The sequence below is a fragment of the Homo sapiens genome, chromosome 12 (assembly GCF_000001405.40).
Source record: "Homo sapiens chromosome 12, GRCh38.p14 Primary Assembly".
NCBI classification, from domain to species: Eukaryota; Metazoa; Chordata; class Mammalia; order Primates; family Hominidae; genus Homo; species Homo sapiens.
Window position 1 is genome coordinate 84,334,954 of NC_000012.12, and position 23,079 is coordinate 84,358,032.

The following is a 23,079-nucleotide window of genomic DNA, read 5'->3' on the forward strand; positions in this document are numbered from 1 at the left end:
TGCTTCCTTGTGAAGAAGATGGCTTGCTTCCCCTTTGCCTTCTGCCATGACTGTAAGTTTCCTGAGGCCGCTCTAGCCATGCTGAACTGAGTCAATTAAACCTCTTTCCTTTATAAATTACTCAGTCTCAGGCAGTTCTTCATAGCAATATGAAAATGGACTAACACAATAGGTTAATGGATAAACTATACATACAGACAATGGAATATTATTCAGTGCTAAAAAAAATGAACTATCAAGCCATGAAAATACATAGAGGAAAATTAAATTCATATTACTAAGTGAAATAAGCCAACCTGTAAAGGCTACATACTGTAAGATTCCAACTATATGACATCCTGTAAAAGGCAAAAGTGTAAAGACAGTAAAAATATTAGTGATTTCCAAGAGTCAGGGGTGGAAACAATGATAGGTAGTGCCCAGAGGTTTCTAAAGCAGCGAAAATATTCTGTATAAATCTATAATGGTGGATATGTATCATAAATGTCTCCAAAATGATAGAATGTACTACACCAAGAGTAAACACTGATGTAAACTATAAATTTTGAGTGATCATGTGTCAATGTAAGTTTACCAGTTGTAACAATTGTACCACTCTGGTGGGGAATATCAATAATTGAGGTTATGCATGTGTGGGGTAGGGGAAATATGGGATGGGGTATTCTTTGTACCTTTTTCTCAGTTTGCTGTGAACCTAAAATTGCTTTAAAAGATAAAGTCTTAAAAAATCAGTCCAATTCAAAAACAACAACAACAACAACAAAACATAGGCATGTGGGGGTTGAAGCTAGAGGGAAATAAGAGTGCTAGCCTAGGTTGGTAATAACCTTGCTCCAAAATAATGCCAATTAAGAGAAAGCCAATATAAGTGAATAGTTATTATATTTTCCTGAATACTATTGACTATTTAATGTTCTAAACTAAGGTGTATGGTGTTTCCTTTATTTCTTTCAACTGAATTGTCAAATAAATACATGCTAAAAGATGTATTACCCCTCATACATTATTGTGTATTTGATGAATGCATTTTTGAAATGCTAAAGAATATATTACAAACATTTTTACTTTTTTTGCTCACGTTTACCTTGAAAGTAAATTCAGTAGATCTAGGATCTCTGAAAAGCACACATTGCTTTATTAAAACTTTTATTGCCGTTTCCTATTTATGGCACCATAAGAAATAACAGGGCCTAGAGACACGTTTTTAGGCTATAGTTTTCCAAGGTCATGAGATGTAAAATTTTGGCTAAAAATATTTTATAGCATATATACAGATTACTGGTACTTTTTAGAAACAAAATATTTGTATTCTTTTTCTGAGATCATCATTCTATAAAGCCTAAAAAGAGTTGGGAAGCAAGAAGGCAAAACTTACAGAAACTCCTTTTAGAAATAGCTTGGTAACAACTAAGAGAGAGAAATCAGTGGATGACTAAGATGACCACAACAAAATCACTTCTCAGTGAGATTAGACAAGAGCAATTTCTAGAGTTACACCCACATGCTTTTTTTAGATAACTCAACCAAGCTTTTTTTGAAGTAGGTAGGAAGATAATGTTCCCAGCAATTTATCCTAACCCCTCCTGAACTAAATCCTGAAGACACTGATACAACTGGACTTTGAAACGTTCTAAGAGAGAATGCTTCTTTTCCTTCTGTAGACACACATCTCAGTGCTCTTGAGGACTAGAAGTTTGTTTTAAATGCAAACAAAATGATAAAGCCAAATAAAATACAGTAACTAATCAAAGATTTTTGGTACCTTTGCCAATAGACCCAAACCCGCAGCAAATTAACTGAATTGTAATATGAGATGAGAGTTAAAAATTAGCATTGCATATTTGAAGTCAAAAATCTTACAATATTTGTAAATATTTGTCACAAAGTCTCTTTCTCAATCTTTATACGTCAAAGAAATATCTAACTGTAGTTATTCACCTTCCTAATTAGTAACACTTCCTATTTAAATGGCTGTGCCATAAATTCGTATCATACCTGATAAAATCTTTCCACAGCTCTCTCTACACAGTCATAGCTATAAATCTTCTCACTGAATTTTAGTTTTAATCAAACTGAACAAAATCCCCCACATACACATTTGATCTCTCTATTCAGTGTTCGGAGCCTACATAAGACCTTTCCCCCAGTATATTAATCCTCCTTAAATCCATACTTTCCAATAAGATATTATCTACTCACAACAACTAAAATCCCTCTGCCACCATGTAATATTTTCCCTCAGCCAGAATTCATCTAGTCCTCTTCTAAATTCTCATAACACTTTAGACCAATACCTGTATATTGCTGTATATTGTTTTGTATTATTTGTGATAGTCTTGTGTTAAGTCTGCCCATATTTTCAACTTCCCTACTCTTCAAGAGCAGAGGAAGGGCATATTTTTGTGTATATTTATATGTCCTACTTCCAGCCTCAGGCTTCACATACATTAAGTGGATAAAACAACAAAAAAGATGTGTGTACTGCATACAGGAGTTGGTATTTGAGTCACTGCCAAAATGAATTTTCTCTCAAAGTAAGGCTTAAATGATAAAGCCTCAAAAACATTTCCATTTCCTAGAGAGATGGCACTTTCAGTGAAGAAATGTGTTACTTTCTCACAAAAGAACATCCACTGATAATTCTCAAATACAAATGTACTAGACAACATCCTATTTTTTAAAACCTAAGTGTGAGGTTAGATTACTGTTCTTAGTATGTTTGATCCACAAGTATACAAATCTAAATAAATCAACCCTCTACCCTCATTCATCCTAAGTTAACTTTCCCCTCTGGATACCATGATGATCTGAAGGCCTTTTACTATAGGAAGTAACATTTTTATGCCAATTATTGGAAAAGAATACCACGTTTAAAAAGTAGAGAAAGAGAGAAAGAAGAGTGTGGCAGAAATAAAGCTATTTTTTGTTTGTTTGTTTGTTTTGTTTTTTGAGACGGAGTCTCGCTCTGTCGCCAGGCTGGAGTGCAGTGGCGTGATCTTGGCTCACTGCAACCTCCGCCTCCTGAGTTCAAGCGATTCTCCTGCCTCAACCTCTCGAGTAGCTGGGACTACAAGCATGTGCCACCACGTCCAGTTAACTTTTGTATTTTTAGTAGAGACAGGGTTTCACCATGTTGGCCAGGATGGTCTTGATATCTTGACCTCGAGATCCACCTGCCTCGGCCTCCCAAAATGCTGGAGATTACAAGTGTGACCCACCTGCTGAGCCAAAAGCTAGATTTTTAATCAAAGATAATGGCTAACCTATTACACTGGGCTGGGTTAGGTAGGGAGTTCTGTTTTTGTTGTTGTTGTTGTTGTTGGTTTTCTGTTTTTAAAGCAACATTCGGGATCATCCTAACAAAATTAGAAAGATACATATAAAAAGTCATCAATACAGTCTCCTGCTCAAATTCATTCAAGTCTCAATTGATTTAACAATTTCTCATGGGTAAGAACATACGTAGCCTGCTTGTATTTGCCAAAGTATTTGCCTAAAACACAAATGGGACATAGTGCTGTCTGTTATGCTACCAGCACCATTTATTTCTAACGTCCTTTTCATTTCACAGACCATTTTGTATTTTTCCGACATGCTACTGTTTCACTAACTAATTCAAATAATAAATTATAAGTGAGATGAAAAAAGATTTGCAAGTTAAATCAAAGAATTCTACAACAATCTATACAATACTTTGAGAAATTAACATATGATCTGGACAAGTCACAAGACAGATTAAATTGTATGCTCATCCCATATATGGGCAGAAGATAATCAATTTAATTTTCAATACATTAGACAATATTTGTGTACAAGAATATCTCATTGATGTTATACTTATTTTTTGTTTCATACTTCACTAACTTGTATATGTTTTCGTTTATAATCATCATTAGACTCCCTGTTATCTAGGTACTAAAGGAATTGCTCTCTGCTATATATTGAATCTTGCTGTCAGGTGATGATAAAAGACGCTCTTGAAAAGGAAAAGAAAAACCAAAGACAGATAAACAATAGGGATGAGCACAGGAGAAAGATAATGGTTTAAGGCCATCATAACTTACTAATTTAAACCTAAAAGTCAATAAATGCTCAATGCCCTGGAAAGAGTTCTCAATCCAGTGTTTACAAAACCATGATGTGCTATTATTTTTTAGTAGATGACAAAATAGCACATTGCTATTTCTCCTATGAAAGAAGAAAAGTGGTCAAAGAAAAAGGTGGGAGCAGAAAAATAATGTAGAAACAGGAAAGAAAAAAAAAGAATCAAAGCACAATTAAATATGTTTCAGTCCAAATTTATTTTGCATCTGTTCTGTGCCAGATGTTATGTTAATTGCCAAAAATAAATAAATAAAAAGCTATGTTATAATCCTTATCCTAAAAAAAATGTAGTAGAAGAACATGGTAATAATAATGAAAATAATAATATTAATAATAAAAAAAGGTATTTTATGCAGTAGAACCTAGAGTAAAAGACTATAGGGATGTCCTTTAAAAATACAAAAATTAACATGTGACTTTTTCTTTTAATTTGTTTTTAAACATATCATCACACTTACAAGGATAAAGCTCAGGTTTAAGATATCATAAATTGCTAGAATAGACAGGGAAGTCAATAAAAGCTGAATGACCTGGATAAAGTCTCTCACCTGTGAAGAGAAACCCGTAGTGCTATTTTTCAAGAGGTGACAAAATGGCACAATACCCTTTAAAGATGAGAAAAAAATAAATAAAAACATTAAACTTTCAGCTTTAGGAAGACATCAAATTCCTGACAGGAGGTATGCCTGTGTGTAAGTATGAGCTCACGTGACAAAAAAATACAGGAGTGGTTCATAAAGTAGGCTAAGAAGTTGATTCTGTATTTTTTAGTTTTATATCATCCCTTTGTCCAAGAGTTTTGTAAAACAAAAAAAATGTTGAAAATATACATTTAGAACCATGTCATTTTCATGTACATTTTATTGGGAAGGTTTCAGACAGAAGGAATTTAACAATTAAGGGCCATGAATCCAGCACCTACCTTAAGTCTTATTTTATTTATATATCTACTTACTTTTCTTCTCAGATTGTACGTTGTCGAGAGTCAATGTCTTTATTTTACTTCATCCATGATTATTTAGGTACCTTCAGACAATTTTAGATTCCATAATCTAAAAATTAAATTATTATTTACTTTTTAAAGTCACAAAATTGATCCAAGAGATAGAAACTAATTCAGTATGTCATACAGGTAGTTGATGGGAGTTAGAATTTGTACCTGACTAGAGTGCCCTATCTTTATCATTATACACCTAGATTTTAAGAAAGTAAAAGCAGACAGAAGATTCTTATCAGAAATAGAAGATCGAAAAAATGACATGTCAATGAAAGTATGAATATTTCACATTCTATTTTCAACCCTCAGTTCTGAAGGATCACTTCAGTTCCAGAACTCTCCATAAAATAGACTAGAGCCTTTGTTGCAAAGCATCATTGTTCAATATCTTTCCTTGTTCAACCCTGCTTCTCAAACCCTTCAGAGTTCTAGTTTCTAAAAGCATTCTGTAATAACATTTCCACATACAAGTCTCCATCTCAGAATTTACTTCCTGGGGAAAACAACCTGTAACAAAGACGAACTTCAGCAGAAAGATTAAACTTGAGTTTGGGATGATGATGAGACATTAGCTGCCTAGGAAATCACTAAAATCACTGAAATATATCACAATTGTCAATTTCTTAATGGAAGATACTAAGACTTTTTCATACTTAGAAAATGATCAAGATGTGAAGATTTAATTATATGCATGGCAAATAAAAATAAAGCAAATTATAACAGCTTGAAAGTAAAGATTCATATTAAGTTGGGAACTGGAATCATAACCAAAAAATTTCCTTAAAAAATGTTCATGTATTAAAGACAGATCTGGGACATTTTAGAAAGTGTAGCAAAATGTTTTTGTTTTATATGTGATAGAAACAATGACATAAAGTTTCCATGTAAAAATGAGTATGGAAATACTCATACCTATTCTTTCTTTCATTGTCCTTGATTCCACTAAAGAACAAGTCTTTTTTTTTTAATTTAATTTTATTATTATTATACTTTAAGTTTTAAAGTACATGTGCACAACGTGCAGGTTTGTTACATATGTATACATGTGCCATGTTGGTGTGCTGCACCCATTAACTCATCATTTAGCATTAGGCATATCTCCTAATGCTATCCTTCCCCCCTCCCCCCACCCCACAACCATCCCCTGTGTGTGATATTCCCCTTCCTGTGAAGAACAAGTCTTTTCTCAAGATATAAAGTCGTAAGTGTATTTGTAGGGCAAAAAAAAATAGTATCTGACATAAACTGTGAAAGGAAAACACACATCCACAATCTTGCAAACACACACAGAAGTTTCTACAGATGCAGTGTGCATGTGTGTGCATACTCAGGCAAACACACCAAGACTTACGCCCTTTGAGAAATAGCATATCTTCTCTTTCAGCCTTTGTTTGATTGTTTTCTTTAGCTGTGATACTTCCATCCACACCCCCAGCTTCAATACTCCCAAGGGTCACTCCCTTATTTCACTCAAATATCACCTTTAAAAAATAAACATTTTATTTTAGAATAATTTCAGTTGTATGGAAAGTTTTCAAAGATAACATAAAGTGTTCCTCTGTACTCCTCATCCAATTTTAGTTTTTCCAGATGTTATCATCTCAAATAATCTTATACATTTGTCAAATTATGACATCACTATCTGTACATTGTTATTAACTAATTTCCAGGCATTATCTGTACCCACACTAAAGTCCTTTTACTTCCTGGGCATCCAATTCAAAATTCCAGGTTTCATTTAGTTGTCATGCCACCTTATTTTTCTCTTTTATGTGTATTTCTCATATTTTCTTTGTTTCTCATCACCTTAACAATTTGAAGAGTACTCTAGATACTACATAAAATGTTTCTTAATTTGAGATTTTAAAGTATTTTTCTCAAATATAGCTGCCTCATGTGTTTTTGGAAAAAAATACCACAGAGGTAAAGTGCTATTATTATTGCATCATATTAGGGGATAAATTATATCCATATGATATCGTTGAGGCTGTCACCCTTCATTGCATGGTTAAGATAGGGTATGTCAGTTTCCTCTATTATAAAGTTACAGAATTTTCCATTTCATACTCTATCCTTTGGAAACAAATTATTCAATTCAAGCTACCCTCAAGGGAGCCAGAAATTAAGCTCAATGTACTAGAAAAGTTATATCTATATATAAATGTTAGAATTCTTTGTTCATTATCCCTTATCTATTTACCTATTCAATCATTTATTGATATCATTATAGACATGCATATTTATCTGATACTTTGGGTTATAATTCAATGTTACATGTATATTTTATTGCTCAAATTGTTTTAGCTTTGTCTATTGAGGTCTCTTAAACGTTGGCATCTGTGTTTCTTTGACATGCACTTACTATTTTGTTTTTGTTCATTCTTTACTTTCTATTACTACAAGATGCTTCAGGATTATCTTGTATTTTCACTGCATCAGTCCTAGAATTAGGCACTTTTCTAAGGATCCCCTGTTCTTTTATTGAAGAATGGTATTAGAAACTAAGTTTTTGGTCCAGGTGTGCTTATTTCTACCTGGCTAAACCTCTCCAATTTAATGAGACTACCGTGACTGTTCTATTTGTCTCTGAAATCTGCTCCTCTCCTATTCCCCATTCCAAATTTCCATTATCTTTTAGTAGATTCTATTTTTCATAGCACACATCACCTTTTAATATGCTATAGAATTTGCTTGTGTATCCTGCTTAATTGTCTGTTTTCTCCTGTTTCTACAATTTAAGTTTGACGAGGATACAGATTTCTGTTGTGGCCACTATTGTATATCTAGCACACAAATAAATACCTGGTACAGACTTAGTAATTATATTTGATAACAATTTATTGATATTTGTAATAGAGTTTGAATCTAAATGCATATTTGAATTCACCTCATGAAAAGTTAAACATATCAAATTTTGTTTAAAGTGAAAAATGCATATAATTTAGATCAATTCTCGTCATAGGATTAGAAAATTCCAAAGACAAGCAGGAATCTGCACTATGACTACTAAGTAAAGACCCCAAATTTATTGGATTCACATGTTATTGTATAGATAATGGTATGTAAAGGTTCAAATAATTTCTCTTCAATGTAAGTTTATTGCTGTTGTCCTGTAAGACAGTCAATTTAGTATCAAACACAGCAATCAAACATAACCCCCTTTCATTAAATCGTGTGTAAATATGAGATCATAATATGCTCTTTTATTTTTGTTTTGCTATTGTTGTTAATGTTTTTACTTTTTTTCCCTCTTTTTCAACTTTTATTGTAGAATTAGGAGAAACATGTGCAGGTTTGTTACAAACATATATGTGTTATGCTGATGTTTGGGGTCTGACTGGACCTATCACCCTGATAGTGAGCATAGTATACAATAGGTAGTTGTTTAGCTCTTGCCCCCTCCTTCTCCCCTCTTGTATTCCCAAGTGTCCATTGTTCCCATCTTTATGTCCATGTGTACTTAATGTTTAACTCTTGCTTATAATTGAGAACATGTATTATTTCTGTTCCTGCATTAATTTGCTTAAAATAATGGCCTTCTGCTGCATCTGTGTTGCTACAAACAACATGACTTTGTTATTTTTTTAATCACTGCATAGTATTACATGGTATACACGTACTAAATTTTATTGATCTAGTCCACCATTGATGAGCACCTTCATTGATTCTATTTTTTTGTTGCTGTTATGAATAATGCCACGATGAACATACAAGTGCATGTGTCTTTTTGGCAGAGCTATTTATTCTCCTTTCAATATATACCCAATAATGGGATTGCTGAGTTGAATGGTAGTTCAGCTCAGTCCTTTGAGAAATTTCCAAACTTCTTTCCACAGTGGTTAAATTAATTTACGTTTCCATCAATAGTGTATGTGTTCCCTTTCTCTCCAGCCTCACCAACATCTGTTAATTTTTGACTTTTTAAGAAAAGTCATTGTGACAGTTGTGTATCTCATTGTGGTTTTGATTTACATTTCTTTGATGATTAATGATGATAAACATTTTTTCTTATATTTGTTGGCTGCATATGTTCTGTTTTGAGAAGTGTCTGTTCATGTAATGGAGTAATTTTTGGGTTGAATTAAGTTTCTTATAGATTCTGGATACTAGAACCTTGATGGATGCAGTTTGTGAATATTTTTTCCCATTCTGTGAGTTGTTTGTGTATGTCTTTGATAGTTTTACTGTGCAGAAGATCTGTAGTTAATTGGTCATACTTATCAATTTTGGTTTTTGTTGAATTTGCTGTTGGGGACTTAGCCATATATTATTTGCCAAGAACAATATTGAAAAGAGTATTTCCTAGGTTTTTCTTTTTTTATGGGACTTTTATAATTTGAGGTCTTACATTTAATTCATTAATAATTCTTGAGTAAATTTTTGTATATGGTAAAAGGTAGGGGTTCAGTATTATTCTTCTGCTTATGAATAGACAGTTATAAAAGCACCATTTATTGAATAGAGAGTCCTTTCCCCATTGTTTGTTATTGTTGACTTTGTCAAAGATCAAATGACTTTGTAGCTTTATTTCTTGTTCTCTGTTCTCTGTGCATAGCTTTATTTCTCGTTCTATGTTCTTTTCCATTGGTCTGTGTGTGTGTGTGTTGTTGTATCAGTACCATGCTGTTTTGGTTACTGTAGCCTTGTAGTATAGTTTTAAATCAGGTAATATGATGCTTCCAGTTTTGATCTTTTGGCTTAGGGTTACTGTGGCTATTTGGGATCTTTATTGGTTCCATATGAATTTGGGGATTTTTTTCTAGTACTGTGAAAAATGGCATTCATAATTTGCTAGGAATAATGTTCAATTTGAAAACTGCTTTGGGCAGTATGGCCATTTTAACAATATTGATTCTTCCAATTCATAAAGATGAAATATTTTTCTATTTATTTGTGTAATTTTTCATTTCTATCAGCAGTGTTTTGTATTTCTCCTTGTAGAGGTATTTTAATTCCTTGGTTAGATGTATTTCTAGGTATTTCTCTCTTTTAGCAGCTATTGTAAATGGGATTGTGTTCTTTATTTGGCTATCATCTAGAAATTTATTGGTACATAGAAATGCTACTTATTTTTGTACATTGGTTTTGTATCCTCAAACTTTACTGAAGATATTTATCAGCTCTGGGAGCCCTTTGGCAGGGCTGTTAAGGTTTTCTAGTTTTGGAATCATATCATTGGTGAAAAGAGATAGTTTGACATGTGATTTTCCTATTGGATGCATTTTTTTTCCTTACTTGATTTCTCTGACTAGGACATCCAGTATTATGTTGAATCAGAGTGATGAGAGTGGATATCCTTGTCTTGTTCCAGTTCTCAAGAGGAATGTTTCCAGCTTTTGTTGGAATGATTATGATATTGGCTGTGAGTTTGATGTAAATACCTTTTATTATTTTGAAGTGTGTTCCTTCAATTCCTAGTTGCTCAAGGTTTTTTTGTTTTTGTGTTTTTATCATGAAGAGGTGTTGAATTTTATCCAAAACTTTTAATGCATTTATTAACATGATCATATGGTTTTTGTTTGTAATTCTGTTTATGTGGTAAATCACAATTACTGATTTGAAAAATGTAGAACCAACATTGCACTCCAGGAATAAAGCCTGCTTGATCATGGTGAATTAACTTTTTGATGTGCTACTGGATTCAGTTTGCTAGCATTTTGTTGAGAATTTTGGGGTCTATGTTTATCACCAATATTGACCCAAAGTTTTATTTTTTCATAGGGTCTCTGCCACATTTTTGTAGGAAAATAATGCTGGCTTCATAGAACAAGTTAGAGAAGACTCCTTGCTTCTTGATTTTTTGGAATAATTTTAGTAGGTTTGGTACTAGCTCTTCTTTGTATGTCTGGAAGAATTTGGCTGTGAATCCATCTGTTCCATGGCTTTTTATAGCTAGTAGACTTTTTATTACTGATTCTGTTTCATAATTTATTATTGGTCTGTTCCTTTCTTCCTGGTTCAATCTTGGACAGTTATCTGTTTCCAGGAATTTCTCCATTTTCTCTAGATTTTCTAGTTGGTGTGCATAGAGGTGTTCACAATAGTCTCAGGATTTTTTATATTTCTGTGGGATTTGGTTGTAATCTCATCTTTTTCAATTCTAATTGTGTATTTGGATCTTCTTTCTTTAATTCTTTGTTAATCTAGCTAGCCATATATTCATTTTGTTTATTCTTCCAATGAGCCAACTTTTGGTTTCATTGATTTTTTGTATAGACGTTTGCATCTCAATTTTATTCAGTCCTTCTCTGATTTTACTTATTTTTTGTCTTCTGCTATCTTTAAGTACATTTTTTTCTAGTTCCTCTAGGTGCAATTCTATATTGTTAATTGGAGAACTTTCTTACTTTTGATGTAGGCATTTAACATTATAAACTTTCCTTTTAACAATACTTTAGCTGAATCCAAAATATTTTAATATGTTGTATCTTTATTTTCAATAGTTTCAAATATTTTCTTTATATTTCTGCCTTAAATTCATTGTTCACCCAAGTGTCTTTCAGGAGCAAGTTGTTTAATTTCCATGTAATTGCATAGCCTTGAGAGATCATCTTGGTATTGATTTCCATTTTTATTGCACTGTGGTCCAAGTGTGTGAATGCTATGGTTTAGGATATATATATATATATACATTTTTATTTATTGACCATTTACCATTATGTAATGCTCTTCTTTGTCTTTCTTGATTGTTGTTGGTTTAAAGTCTGTTTTATCTGGCATAAGAATAGTGACTCCTGCTCTTTTTTTGTATTCTGTTTGCATAATAAATCTTTCCCTTTCTGTTTACATTGAGCCTGTGAGTGTCATTACATGTGAGATGGGTCTCTTGAAGCCAGCACACAGTTAGGCTTTGTCTTTTTTTCCAAGTTACCACTTCATAACTTTTTAAGTTGGATGTTTAGACCACTTACATTCAAGGTTAATGTTGATATCCTAGATTTTGAGACTTTCCTCATGTTGTTAACTGTATATTTTGTTCACTGGATTATGAGGTTGTCTTATGGTGTCAGTAGGCTGTGTACTTAAATGTGTTTGTGGTGGCAGGTATTGTTCTTTCATTTCCATGCTTATCACTCTCTTAAGGACCTCTTTTAAGGCAGGTTAGAGGAAATAAATTCCCCTAGTGATTGCTTGTCTAAGAAAGATTTTATATCTCCTTTGCTTATGAGGTTTTATTTGGTAGGATATGAAATTCTTGGTTGGAATTTCTTTTCTTTAAGATCACTGAAAATAGGTCCTCCATCTCTTCTGGCTTCTGAGGTTTTTGTTGAGGCATTTACTATTAACCTAATGGTGTTTCCTTTGTAAGTGATCTGACCCTTCTCTCTAGCTGCCTTTGATGTGATTTATTTTGCATTGACCTTAATAAATATGATGACTGTGTGCCTTGGGGATAGTCGCCTTGTATAGCATTTCATGGAGGTTTTCTGTATTTCTTGAATTTGCATATAAATCTCTCTAGCAAGACTGGGGAAATATTTGTGCCCTGTATTCTCAAATTCATTTTCAGAGTTACTTATTCTTTCTCCTTCTGTCTGAGAAATGCCAAGGAGTTGTTTATTAGATCTCTTTTCATAATGCTTTCTTAGAGGTTTTATTTCTTAAAATTACTATTTCTTTATTTTTGTCTGACTGAGTTGATTTGATGAACTGGTCTTCAAGTTGTGAGATCATTTCCCTAGCTTAGTCTAGTTTGCTGTTAATGCTACCAACTCTGTTAAAAAATTATTGTTGTAAATTTTTCAATTCTAGGAATTTGGTTTTGTTTTTTCTTAAAATGACTAATTTGTCTTTTAACTTTTGGATCATTTTATTGGATTCCTGGATCCCTTGGATTGGGTTACAACTTTCTCCAGAATCTCGATGAATTTCCTTGCCATTCCTTCTGAATTCCATGTCTATTATTTCAAGAATCATTCTGGGGAGCTAATATGCTTATTTAGAGGTAAGAGGACACTGAGCTTTTGGATTGCCAGAGTTTTTGCGCTGATTCTTTCTGGTGTTCCTTTGTCCTATTGGCTTTTCTGTCATTTGGATGCAATTTTTTTTGTATTTATATTCTTTATTTACTTTGAGGTTTAAGCTGTGGTGTAAGTTGAGTATAGTCAATTAGCTTAATTTCTGTGTGCTTTCAGAGGGCCAAGGCTCTGTATGTGATCTTTATTTGTGGCTAGGTTCTTGCCCTGGGTTTCACAGGAAATGTATAATGGCAGAATATTTTTGGTGTTGTGATTTTTGCTGTTTAAGACTAATGTAGGAGACACTTAAGAGTAATGGCTGGTAGATAGGCTTTTACTCAGCCAGATATTTTGTATTTCAGTGAAGTCACAGTAGTGCTCCATTTTGGTGGTGGGGAAGAGGGGTAACCTCCTTGCCAGATCTGCTCCCAGGTTTTAGGGAGCCTACTCCCATCATTGGCACTGCCTGCATTTCCTTTCTTAGGTGTTCCAGGCTTCAGGGCTCCCTCAGACAGAAGCTGTGGCTGGCAGACTGGCCACACCTTTCCTAAACCAGCCCTACAGAGTGAGGCATACCCTGCTCCCATGCCAGCCCAGGAACCCAAGTCTCACCCCTCACAGTGTTCTGAGAGTGAAGGCTCCTCCCTAGCTTGAGTGCCGGCTACAGATCTCATTTTGGCACTCCTGAGCTATGTACTGCAGCCCTGGGGCTTTGGGACTGGGCCCAGAGCTCTGTCTTCTGGCTCTTAAGGTCATGCCCTGGCTGTGCTGAGGGACACAAAATGTTTTCAGGCCACCAGGAAAGCACTCAGGCAGGGCTGCCAGCAAAGCAACCAAGGTGGATGGCAGAGGCTGTGCAGTGCTTCTGCTCTTGCAGGAACAACCAGGTAGGACCTTGGGGTGCAGGTATTGGGCAGAAGTGCCTGCAGAAAAGATGCGCCTCAGTCCTGTGGGTAAGACAGCCCTGCTCTCTCTTGGCCTGGCAGTTAGATGGGGTTAGATGGACAGCTTTGAGATATAAGCACCTATGATCATGTTCCACTGCAGCTGTCCCATGCACAACACCCCTGGGCCCCATGCAAGCTGGAGCTCTGTCTCTGTCTACTCTCTGGGCCAATCTCCCTGTCTATTTAATGTCTATGGTGGGAGAAGCGGTTGTGGGATATCTTGTAGTTAGGATTTCAGATGTCCTGAGTGAGAGTGGGCTGATGCACAACTTTATGCTCATAAATAGTAATTATTTATGTATAAAAGTAGATATTTATATATTGTGGTTTATATCTTTAAATGTTAAAGCGAATTAAAATATTTCAATAATGAATAAAATATTCAGAATAAATAAAAATTGAGGTCAATTATGTTTCAAAAAAACTGGCTTTTTTCCCCCAAGAGCTGTATGTAATACAAGATAAACCATATTACTTAAGAATATACTTTTATTATTGGTTTGAGGATAATTTATATTCATAAAAAATTGCTTAGAGATATAACCAATAGTGTTCTGGAGTTAGATTTTAACAGCTTGTGAGAGCTGAATGTTCCTGTCTCTTCCTTTCTCTGCTTCATTTACTGACATATTGGTATCTTAAAATTAGTATTGCTGGGAGTACTTACACAATGAAAATTAACAAATACTACAAATTAAGAGATTTTGTGTGTGTGTGTGTAAAACAAATTGTTAAAAATTCACCAGCACATCACGGAATCTCATCTAAACTTTGCACATTTAGCAATATAGTAATCATTTTCCCCCCTATTTCAGTGAAATCACATTCTTATTTTATATTTTTTGTTTAAATATGTAGTTTTTCTTTTGAAGATATAGTACAGCCATTAATTTAAAAATGTGATTACTGTTAGAAAAGTACCTTTTTTTGACTTTATAGTGTGAAAGAAATAATGAGCCATACTTCAATATCTGTTTTACTGTTGGAATATTCAAGTTTTAATTAATATTTCAGAGAACATTATTTTTTATGAAAGTGAAAGCGCTCTTCAGAAATTCTCCAGGCACTGTCCATCATCTTTCACTGAATTTAGAAAATTTCAAAATTGATCTGCTTGATCAATTTATCCATTTCAGATGACTTTAGGAAGATAGGACAAAATGGGATGAAACTCATTAATGAATTGCATGGTGATTGAGAAGCCCATCTTAGACCGCAAAAGAAAAATTTAAATTTGTAGGCAGAAAAAAGTGTTCAGCAAGTTAATATTTCCTCTCTTGGGAAGTACTCCCTCATCACATAGTCAGAGTACCTTCTGTCTTTATTTTTGAGTTTGGCAACATCTGTGTTATTTTAGTCTATGACTGAAAGGGCTACAAAATGTGGTATCACATGCATCATTATTCCCTGGAATGAAGCTTGAAACTAGATCATGATTTAGTCAAAATTCAAAGATATTTCTAATTATATTTACTTTGAGGACATACATAAACTTTTAGGGTAGTAACTTGCATTTCTGAAACAAGAAAATTAAAAAAGAAAAGCTATTCTTTAGTTGCTGTTGTTCAGAATTGCAGGACATTGTGGTACAAGGAAAACCTTTTTTATGGTAGAGAACAAATTTTCTAAACTAGATGTCTTTTGAGGTACATCAAAATTGGTCTGTATTTATTATTATGCAAATTTGCACCAGTTCCCACAGTGAATGCCAAAAAAAGGTGACAGTTTCTTTTTGTATTTGTGATTTACATTCTTTCTAGGACATGCAGTTTATAGTTTTAATATATAAAGACTTGGAAAATAGAATCAAGTTGCAGTAAATTTTAAAAGACTTATCCATTGAAGAGAGAATTTCATTGTAGTGTAGTCACCCCTCTGTACTCATGTATTTCATATTTGCAAATGCTTCTACTTGCTAAAATTTATTTACAACCCCAATATCTATAATAGCAGTTTAGTGGTCATTCACAGATTTCAGAGGAAAAGCAAAAATTTTGAATTGCCTAATGAGTTTTCAACTGAGGTTGAACAAAGTGACTCTTTGCCTTCCTGTTTCAGCTCTCGTATTGTAAAGTAGCTTTCTTTTCTTGGTCTTCTTAGTGCCACATTTTCACATTTTTCATTTTCCTCTCTTCTCTCTTTCTTTCTTTTTCTTTCTTTCTTCTTTCATTTTTTGTTTGCTTTTTTTGGTGTTTCTGTTTTTTAAAATGGTGCTCGAGTATAGTGCTGAAGGAAATCTCCCATTCTTAAGGCCAAAATACTTTGTGAAAAAATACATGTGTTAGCTAAGCTTCATTTAGGTGTGAGTTACAGTGCTATTAATCATGAGTTCAATGTTAATGAACCAATAATACGAGTTAAATTAGGTATCTTTAAAGAAAAGCACACAGGTTATGTATTGACCAGTTACTTGAAATTTTGTGGAGAACCATTAATTACATAAAAGCTTTTAATATTAAATGCTACTCTATACTTAAATAAAACACAGATATTTCTAGTAAAAATTAACGAATGTTAATGATATGGATTTTACAATCAACTAAATACTATCAATCCAAGAATTACCTTTTGAAAAGGCTTTCCTAAAAGTTGGTCTCATTTTAGGAACAATTGTCTTTGATAATTGTTATTAGTTCTGTAGACCCTAGATGACCTAGTCATTCAATTACTAAGATTATTCAACTAAGTTAAAACTTTAGAAGTGTGTAATAGAATAATAAGAAAATAAAAATGGTTAACAAGTCTAAATCTTCATTATCTGCTTTTAAAATATAATAAACTTCTACATTTTATGTATATCAGAGTGTTTGTTATCTTTATAATATTAATCTATATCATTTAACAAAGAGAGAGGATAAGTGGGAGGAGAAGGAAAAGGAGAAAAATAGATACCATACATTGAATACTTATGAAGCAGGCATTTTTTCTCTCTCTCTTTATATCTATGTTTTATATATATATATACACACACACATACAGGTGTAAATATAAATAGGATTATATATATTTACATATAATCCTATTTTGTCTAATTACCCCCATAATAAGTAAATATTAGTAATCCAGTTACACATATAAAGGTACTGGGGGCTACATGTATTTGATCAGCAAGTTCAAAGTCGCACAACTGGTGAGGAAGAGAGCCCTTCAAAAGTGGATAGGCCTGACTCCACAGCCAGGAAATAGAGACATAAAGGAGTCTCTTTCTGTCTCTATATAGCTTTTATCTTATAATACTCATTCTTCGTAAAAGATCCCCATCTTTAGCCCATCAAAGAAAAGCAAGAGCAAACACAATAATTATTTTATATCCACTCTTATTAATTGTTCTCTTTTCAGGATCATTTTTGTAATTTGAAATGTTTCATTACTCCCATATTCAACACTATGAATAAAGAAACAGCACTCATGAATATAAGGTGAGAACTGGCCTGAGTAGAGGGTAATTCTAAATAAAATTAACCATATATTTTTTTAATTTTTTTTTTTTTTTTTGAGATGAAGTCCCACTCTTGTCCCCCAGGCTGGAGTGCAATGGGGCTATCTCGGCTCACTGCAACCTCTGCCTCCCAGGTTCAGACGATTTTCCTGCCTCAGCCTCCCGAGTAGCTGGGATTACAGGCGCCTGCCACCATGCCTGGCTAATTTTTTTTTTTTTTTAGCAATCACAGGGTTTCACCATGTTGGCCAGGCTGGTCTCGAACTCCTGACCTCAGGTGATCCACCCACCTTGGCCTTCCAAATTGCTGGGATTACAGGCGTGAGTCACCGCACCTGGCCACAAAAGGGTTTATTACTGTTATCTTTATTCCATGCTGAAATTATAATAATTCTGATATATTAAGATAATCAAATTTCTCTGTCAAACTGATTTCCCCTGTTTGTTTTTATTCTTTGTAATGTGACTACCAGAAAATGTAAAATTATAAATGAGGCTTGCATTATATTTATTTCGGTAGCTCTGTTCTAAAGAATAGATTTAAAATAATATAAAGTAAATTAATGAAAAGAAATTGGATTATATAAGTAAAAGTTTATCTCTATTCCATGGGGCATCAGCAGTTTTGCTTGACTGGAGGCTGAAATATCCACTTTGAAGATTCTCATTCATGTGGCTATTAAGTTGGTGCTGGCTGTCAATTGAAAGCTCACAGGGCTTTGGCCAGGAGTATTAGTTCTTCTTCAAATGAACCTCTCCACTGGCTGCTTAGCGGGTGAGCCAGTGGCACAATTAATATAACGGGTTTTTACAAATTTTAATAGGCTCTATACATCATTTTAATTAAGTGAGGTTTATTCCCCTGATTTATTGTTTCTAGTAAACGTGTGATTTCTCCATCATTTTGTTAAAGTTAGGATTTCCACAAACCTCCAACCCCACTGGGAATCTTCCCAATATTTCAAAGAAACAGGTTTTTGACACTATCTTTTATCAATCCAGTGGGATTTTTAGTACAAATATTACTGCAGTGCTTTTATTTCAGTTGAAATTGTTCAGAGAAGACCAAGGCAGATGATCAAATGCAATTCTTTCTAATGGCATCACAGTATAACAAATGTATTTGTTTTCTGGATTTGTGACAAGTAGCAAACTCTGTTTATAAATACAGATTGCACCTCAGGTACTAGTGACACTCTGTCACATCACATCACAGAGTTTCCACTGAGCAATTTTAGGGTGTCTGATTCTCAGTCTTTCTATGCCTGTTTTTATAAGCTGAATGTGATTGGTTTTGTTATACTAAACCAAAACTTACAGCAAAACGTAAGTTCTCCCTGCCACTCATGCTCATCTTTGTTGTCATAGGTATCTGAAGTGGCATAAAGGACAAAGATTTTCCAAAGAGAAATTACTGCATCTACTCCTCTCTTCCCCTTCTCCTCTTTTTTGTTTTTTGTTTGTTTTTTGGTCCTCTACAGTAAGAGGATATCTCAAAACACTAACACTAACGAATTTACTATCTTCTCTAAACTTTTATGGCGAATTAGGCACAGCTGAAATCAATGGAAATTCTCTCCTGCAGGGTTTCTGAAGGTTTGATTCTTCACACAAGGGATTTGCCAGGAAATCTCAGTTATGGTTTGGACTCTGCTGAGGGTGTGATCCCTGCTGGGAGAATCTCTTGCAACAGGGCTGAAGACCACTCCTACAGGACTGGTTTTGGAGTAACTCAGAGGATAAATACACCACATGATCTCAAGAGCCTCTGTCCAGATAGTCAGAGGATGGTCTTTGCAGCCACTGCCATCTCCCAGTTAGAAATAGGTGTGTCCAGACTTTCACCAACGGCTCAGTTACTGCTCTTCTTCACATTTTAGTGGTTTGTCAGTGTTTGACAATTAAACCTCAAATTTAGATATATGATTATAATGGAAGAGATGGTGAAGTGGGAAGAATAATGGTTTCTAGTCTTGGATTTAAAAATTTCACATATGTTGGAGTCCCTTTATGAATTCATGTAAGTTATTAATTTATGCGATAAATAAATTGCCCACAATTATACCAAATAAACAGAATCCCATAAACAATAAATGCATCCAAGCCTAAAACAATCATTGACAAAGCTCATGGAAAGAGCATAAAAAAAGGTTTTTACTCCTTCCCAAACACTGACAAAGAAATAGTCAAATAAAAGAATAGTTAATCATATTGACTTAGAGTTTGTGCAAATCCCGACCCCTCTACTTACTAGTTGTGTGATCTTGAGCATGTCTTTTAGTCTCTAAGGGTCTCAGAGTTCTCATTTGCAAAATGAGAAATAATACTTAACTCATGAAATTGTTGTGAGGATTAAATGAATTTTTAAAGATCTGACATTCTTAGAACACTGCTTGGAATTAAGTAAACGTGGGATATGTTTTCTGTTGTTTTGTTGTTTTTATCTTCACCAATGATTTTAATGATATTAGCCAGCATGTGACATAGCTGATCACTTCCTCTTAGAAATGCATATTTTCATTTAGAATCTAAACTATCACACTTCTTGATTCTCCTACTTTATTTGTTTTTTTCTTTCCAGTATCTTTTACTGGTCCTTTCTCATCTTGTTGTAGTAACTCTAACACCAAATTCTCCAGGGCCTCTAAATTTCTGATGCGCCTCAGGGGTCATTCACTGGACTTTTTTTCTATCTATACTTACTCACTTGGTGATATCATACAGGCTTATGGTGTTAAACTTCCTCTACATGCTGAAAACTCTCAAATATACATCACCCATCCAGACATGTTTTCTAAAAACTCTTGCCAATTACTTACTCTCAATATCCATATTTGAATTTGTAGAAAGGAGAAGCGAAAACAAGTTTTTTATGAGAACTAAAATTTGTATGATTTGAGGGACCTTAAGAAAAGAAAATAGGCCGGGTGCAATGGCTCATGCCTGTAATCCTAGCACTTTGGGAGTCTGAGGCGTGTGGATTGCCAGAGCACAGGAGTTCAAGACCAGCCTGGGCAACATGGTGAAACCCCGTCTCTACTAAAATACAAACAAGTTAGCTGGGTGTGGTGGCGTGCGCCTGTAATCTCAGTTACTTGGGAGGCTGAGGCAGGGGAATTGCTTGAACCTGAGAGGTGGAGGTTGCAGTGAGCCAAGATCGTGCCATTGCACTCCAGCCTGGGCAACAGAGCAAGACTCCATTTGAAAAAAAAAAAAAGAAAATAATATAAAATTATAAATACAAAATTATAAGGTCAGGAGTAGGCTGAAGTGGCCTTCCGGCTCAGCATGACTCAGTGGGTTTGGAGTGCAGGTGTACAGCCCCGCACATTATGTAACCGCACCACACGAGATGCATTAGGTGATCACCCACATGAGCTCATGCTTGGCTCGGAGCCACTATTGTCTGTAAAAGGTATAATTACCCTGCTAACACTGTACATATGGCTCACTTGCACCCAGAGAGAGAGTGAAGCCATGTCAAAACTGTGTGATTCCTTGAGTGTTTTTCCAGCTACCCACTACTCACCCACCGACTCCCCTTGGACCTCAGTTAGAATGTGACAATTGGTGTCACGACCAGGATCTCGAGGTGAATGAGCCTTCAGTCCCTACTGATTCTGGGTCAGCCTTGTTGCCACAACATGGACTGTGGTACCTGGAGACAGCTCTGCTACTTGGATGGGCTCTGGTGGAAACCTGATTGGCAGTAGATGGGTCCCCAGTGAGCATGGAGAAGGCACTGAAGCAGCTGGAAGCACAGAGCACCACCAAGAAGGAGCGAGCTTTTGCTGGAAGCATTGGACGAGCTTTTTTGACTGCACTACAAGAAGTACACACTCAGTTCCTGAGGGATGCAGGTAACCACCCTCTAGGCGCAGGCAGGGCGCCTGGAGCCCAGGCTACACAGCTCAGAAAAAGAGTTAGAAGCTGCTATGAATGAGGACCTCCAAGCACAGGTGGGGCTCCTGGAGGCCCGGCTTCAGAGCTTGGGAAAAGAATTAGAGGCTGCTGTGAATGCAGGCCTGGGTCCATCATCTCAGCCAGAGACCCCCACTTGATCTGATACTGAGGAGGAAGAATCTCATTGCAGGCTCGCCCAGTGGTCCTTCAGAAGGTAGTTTATAAATGGCCATTGGGGCCCCAAGGGCAGGCTCAGGGACCCCCCATCATAAGGCAACACATTTCATATACTGCCTATACCCCAACTGAGTTGCGTGAATTAGACAGCAGTGATGCCAACATCCAGGGGAACCTCTGCCCACCTGGGTGCTTCGTTTGTGGGACAAGGGAGCAGATAGTATACCCGGTTCCACCTCTGAGATAGAAAAACTGGCCCCTATTATGACTCACTCCTCCCTCTGTCAGCAGTTGCAGGTGAGCAGGCAGTTGGTACAAGGTGACCATACCCTGATTGAGTGGCTATGGGCAGCCATATGGACTGTGTGGAATGACGCCTGTGAAATACCTGAAACCTGAAACCCTGGGTAAATGGCAGTCGTATGCTGATTTGGTGCAAGTCTTCCAGGAGATAGGTGTGCGGTCAGCTACGTTTGACCTGAATACCCGGGGGCCAGATGATGAACATTTCGCCTCCCACATGAGGGATCTCATGTTGGGTTCTGTACCCCTGAGTGCCTTTGGCTCCCTAGCTGCTGTCCTTACCCCATACGTAGGGTGTCGCATACATGAAGTGACAACTGCTATGGCTGGTGGCCCTCGGGGAAGCAGAAGGCCATTGATGGGACTGAGGGGTCCACGCTGTAAAGAAAGGGAAGATGCCCCATCTGCTGGGGGCCCTTCCATCGGAGAAAAGGGGGCTGAAACAAGTGACACACTCACGGATGTGGATATATATGATTTTGGCCAGGGTTGACATAGAGAAACTCAATATGTAGCCCAATGAAGTGCTCTTAACTTTGTGGAGACAGTTGTCTTCAGAGCAGCAATTTCAGAAAATGTCCAAGTAGGAGAAGGACATTGCTGCATGACCCAGTCCCACCTGGGTTCTTCAGCTCAAAGACTGTTTGCTGCAGCCAGGTGGAAATGTAGAGCCTTCTCTGTTTGATTAGAGAACTGGCCAAGATGCCCAGCTTGGGGGGATACCAGATGACCGGAGGCCACATGCGGAATTAGTGATCTACTGGTCCCCCACCAATGTACAGCAGGTGTTGGCACTGGTGGATACTGGCACAGATTGCAGCCTTGTTTATGGGAACCTGGGTAAGTTTCCAGGCAAACCTGCTTACATTAACGGTTATGGAGGCCATTCAGTAAAAGTGAAACCTGTATCTCTGCACCTTGGCTTTAGCTGTTTGGCTCCCTGTTTATATAATGTGTATGCCTCTCCCATTCTGGAATACATTCTGGGGGTGGACATTTTACATGGCCTGACATTACAAACCATGGCCAGGGAATTCAGACTCCCACTGCATATGGTGAAGCTGATGCTGCATGGACATACACATCACCAGCCCCAGGTCCTGCCACAACCCTGATAGTTTACTTCCACCTATCAATACCATTTGCCAGGTGGGCATACGGAGATAACTGAAACCATTAAAAAGCTGGAGGAGGTGCAGATAGTGCGTGGCACCCACAGCTCCTACTATTCTCCAGTATGGCTAGTTAGAA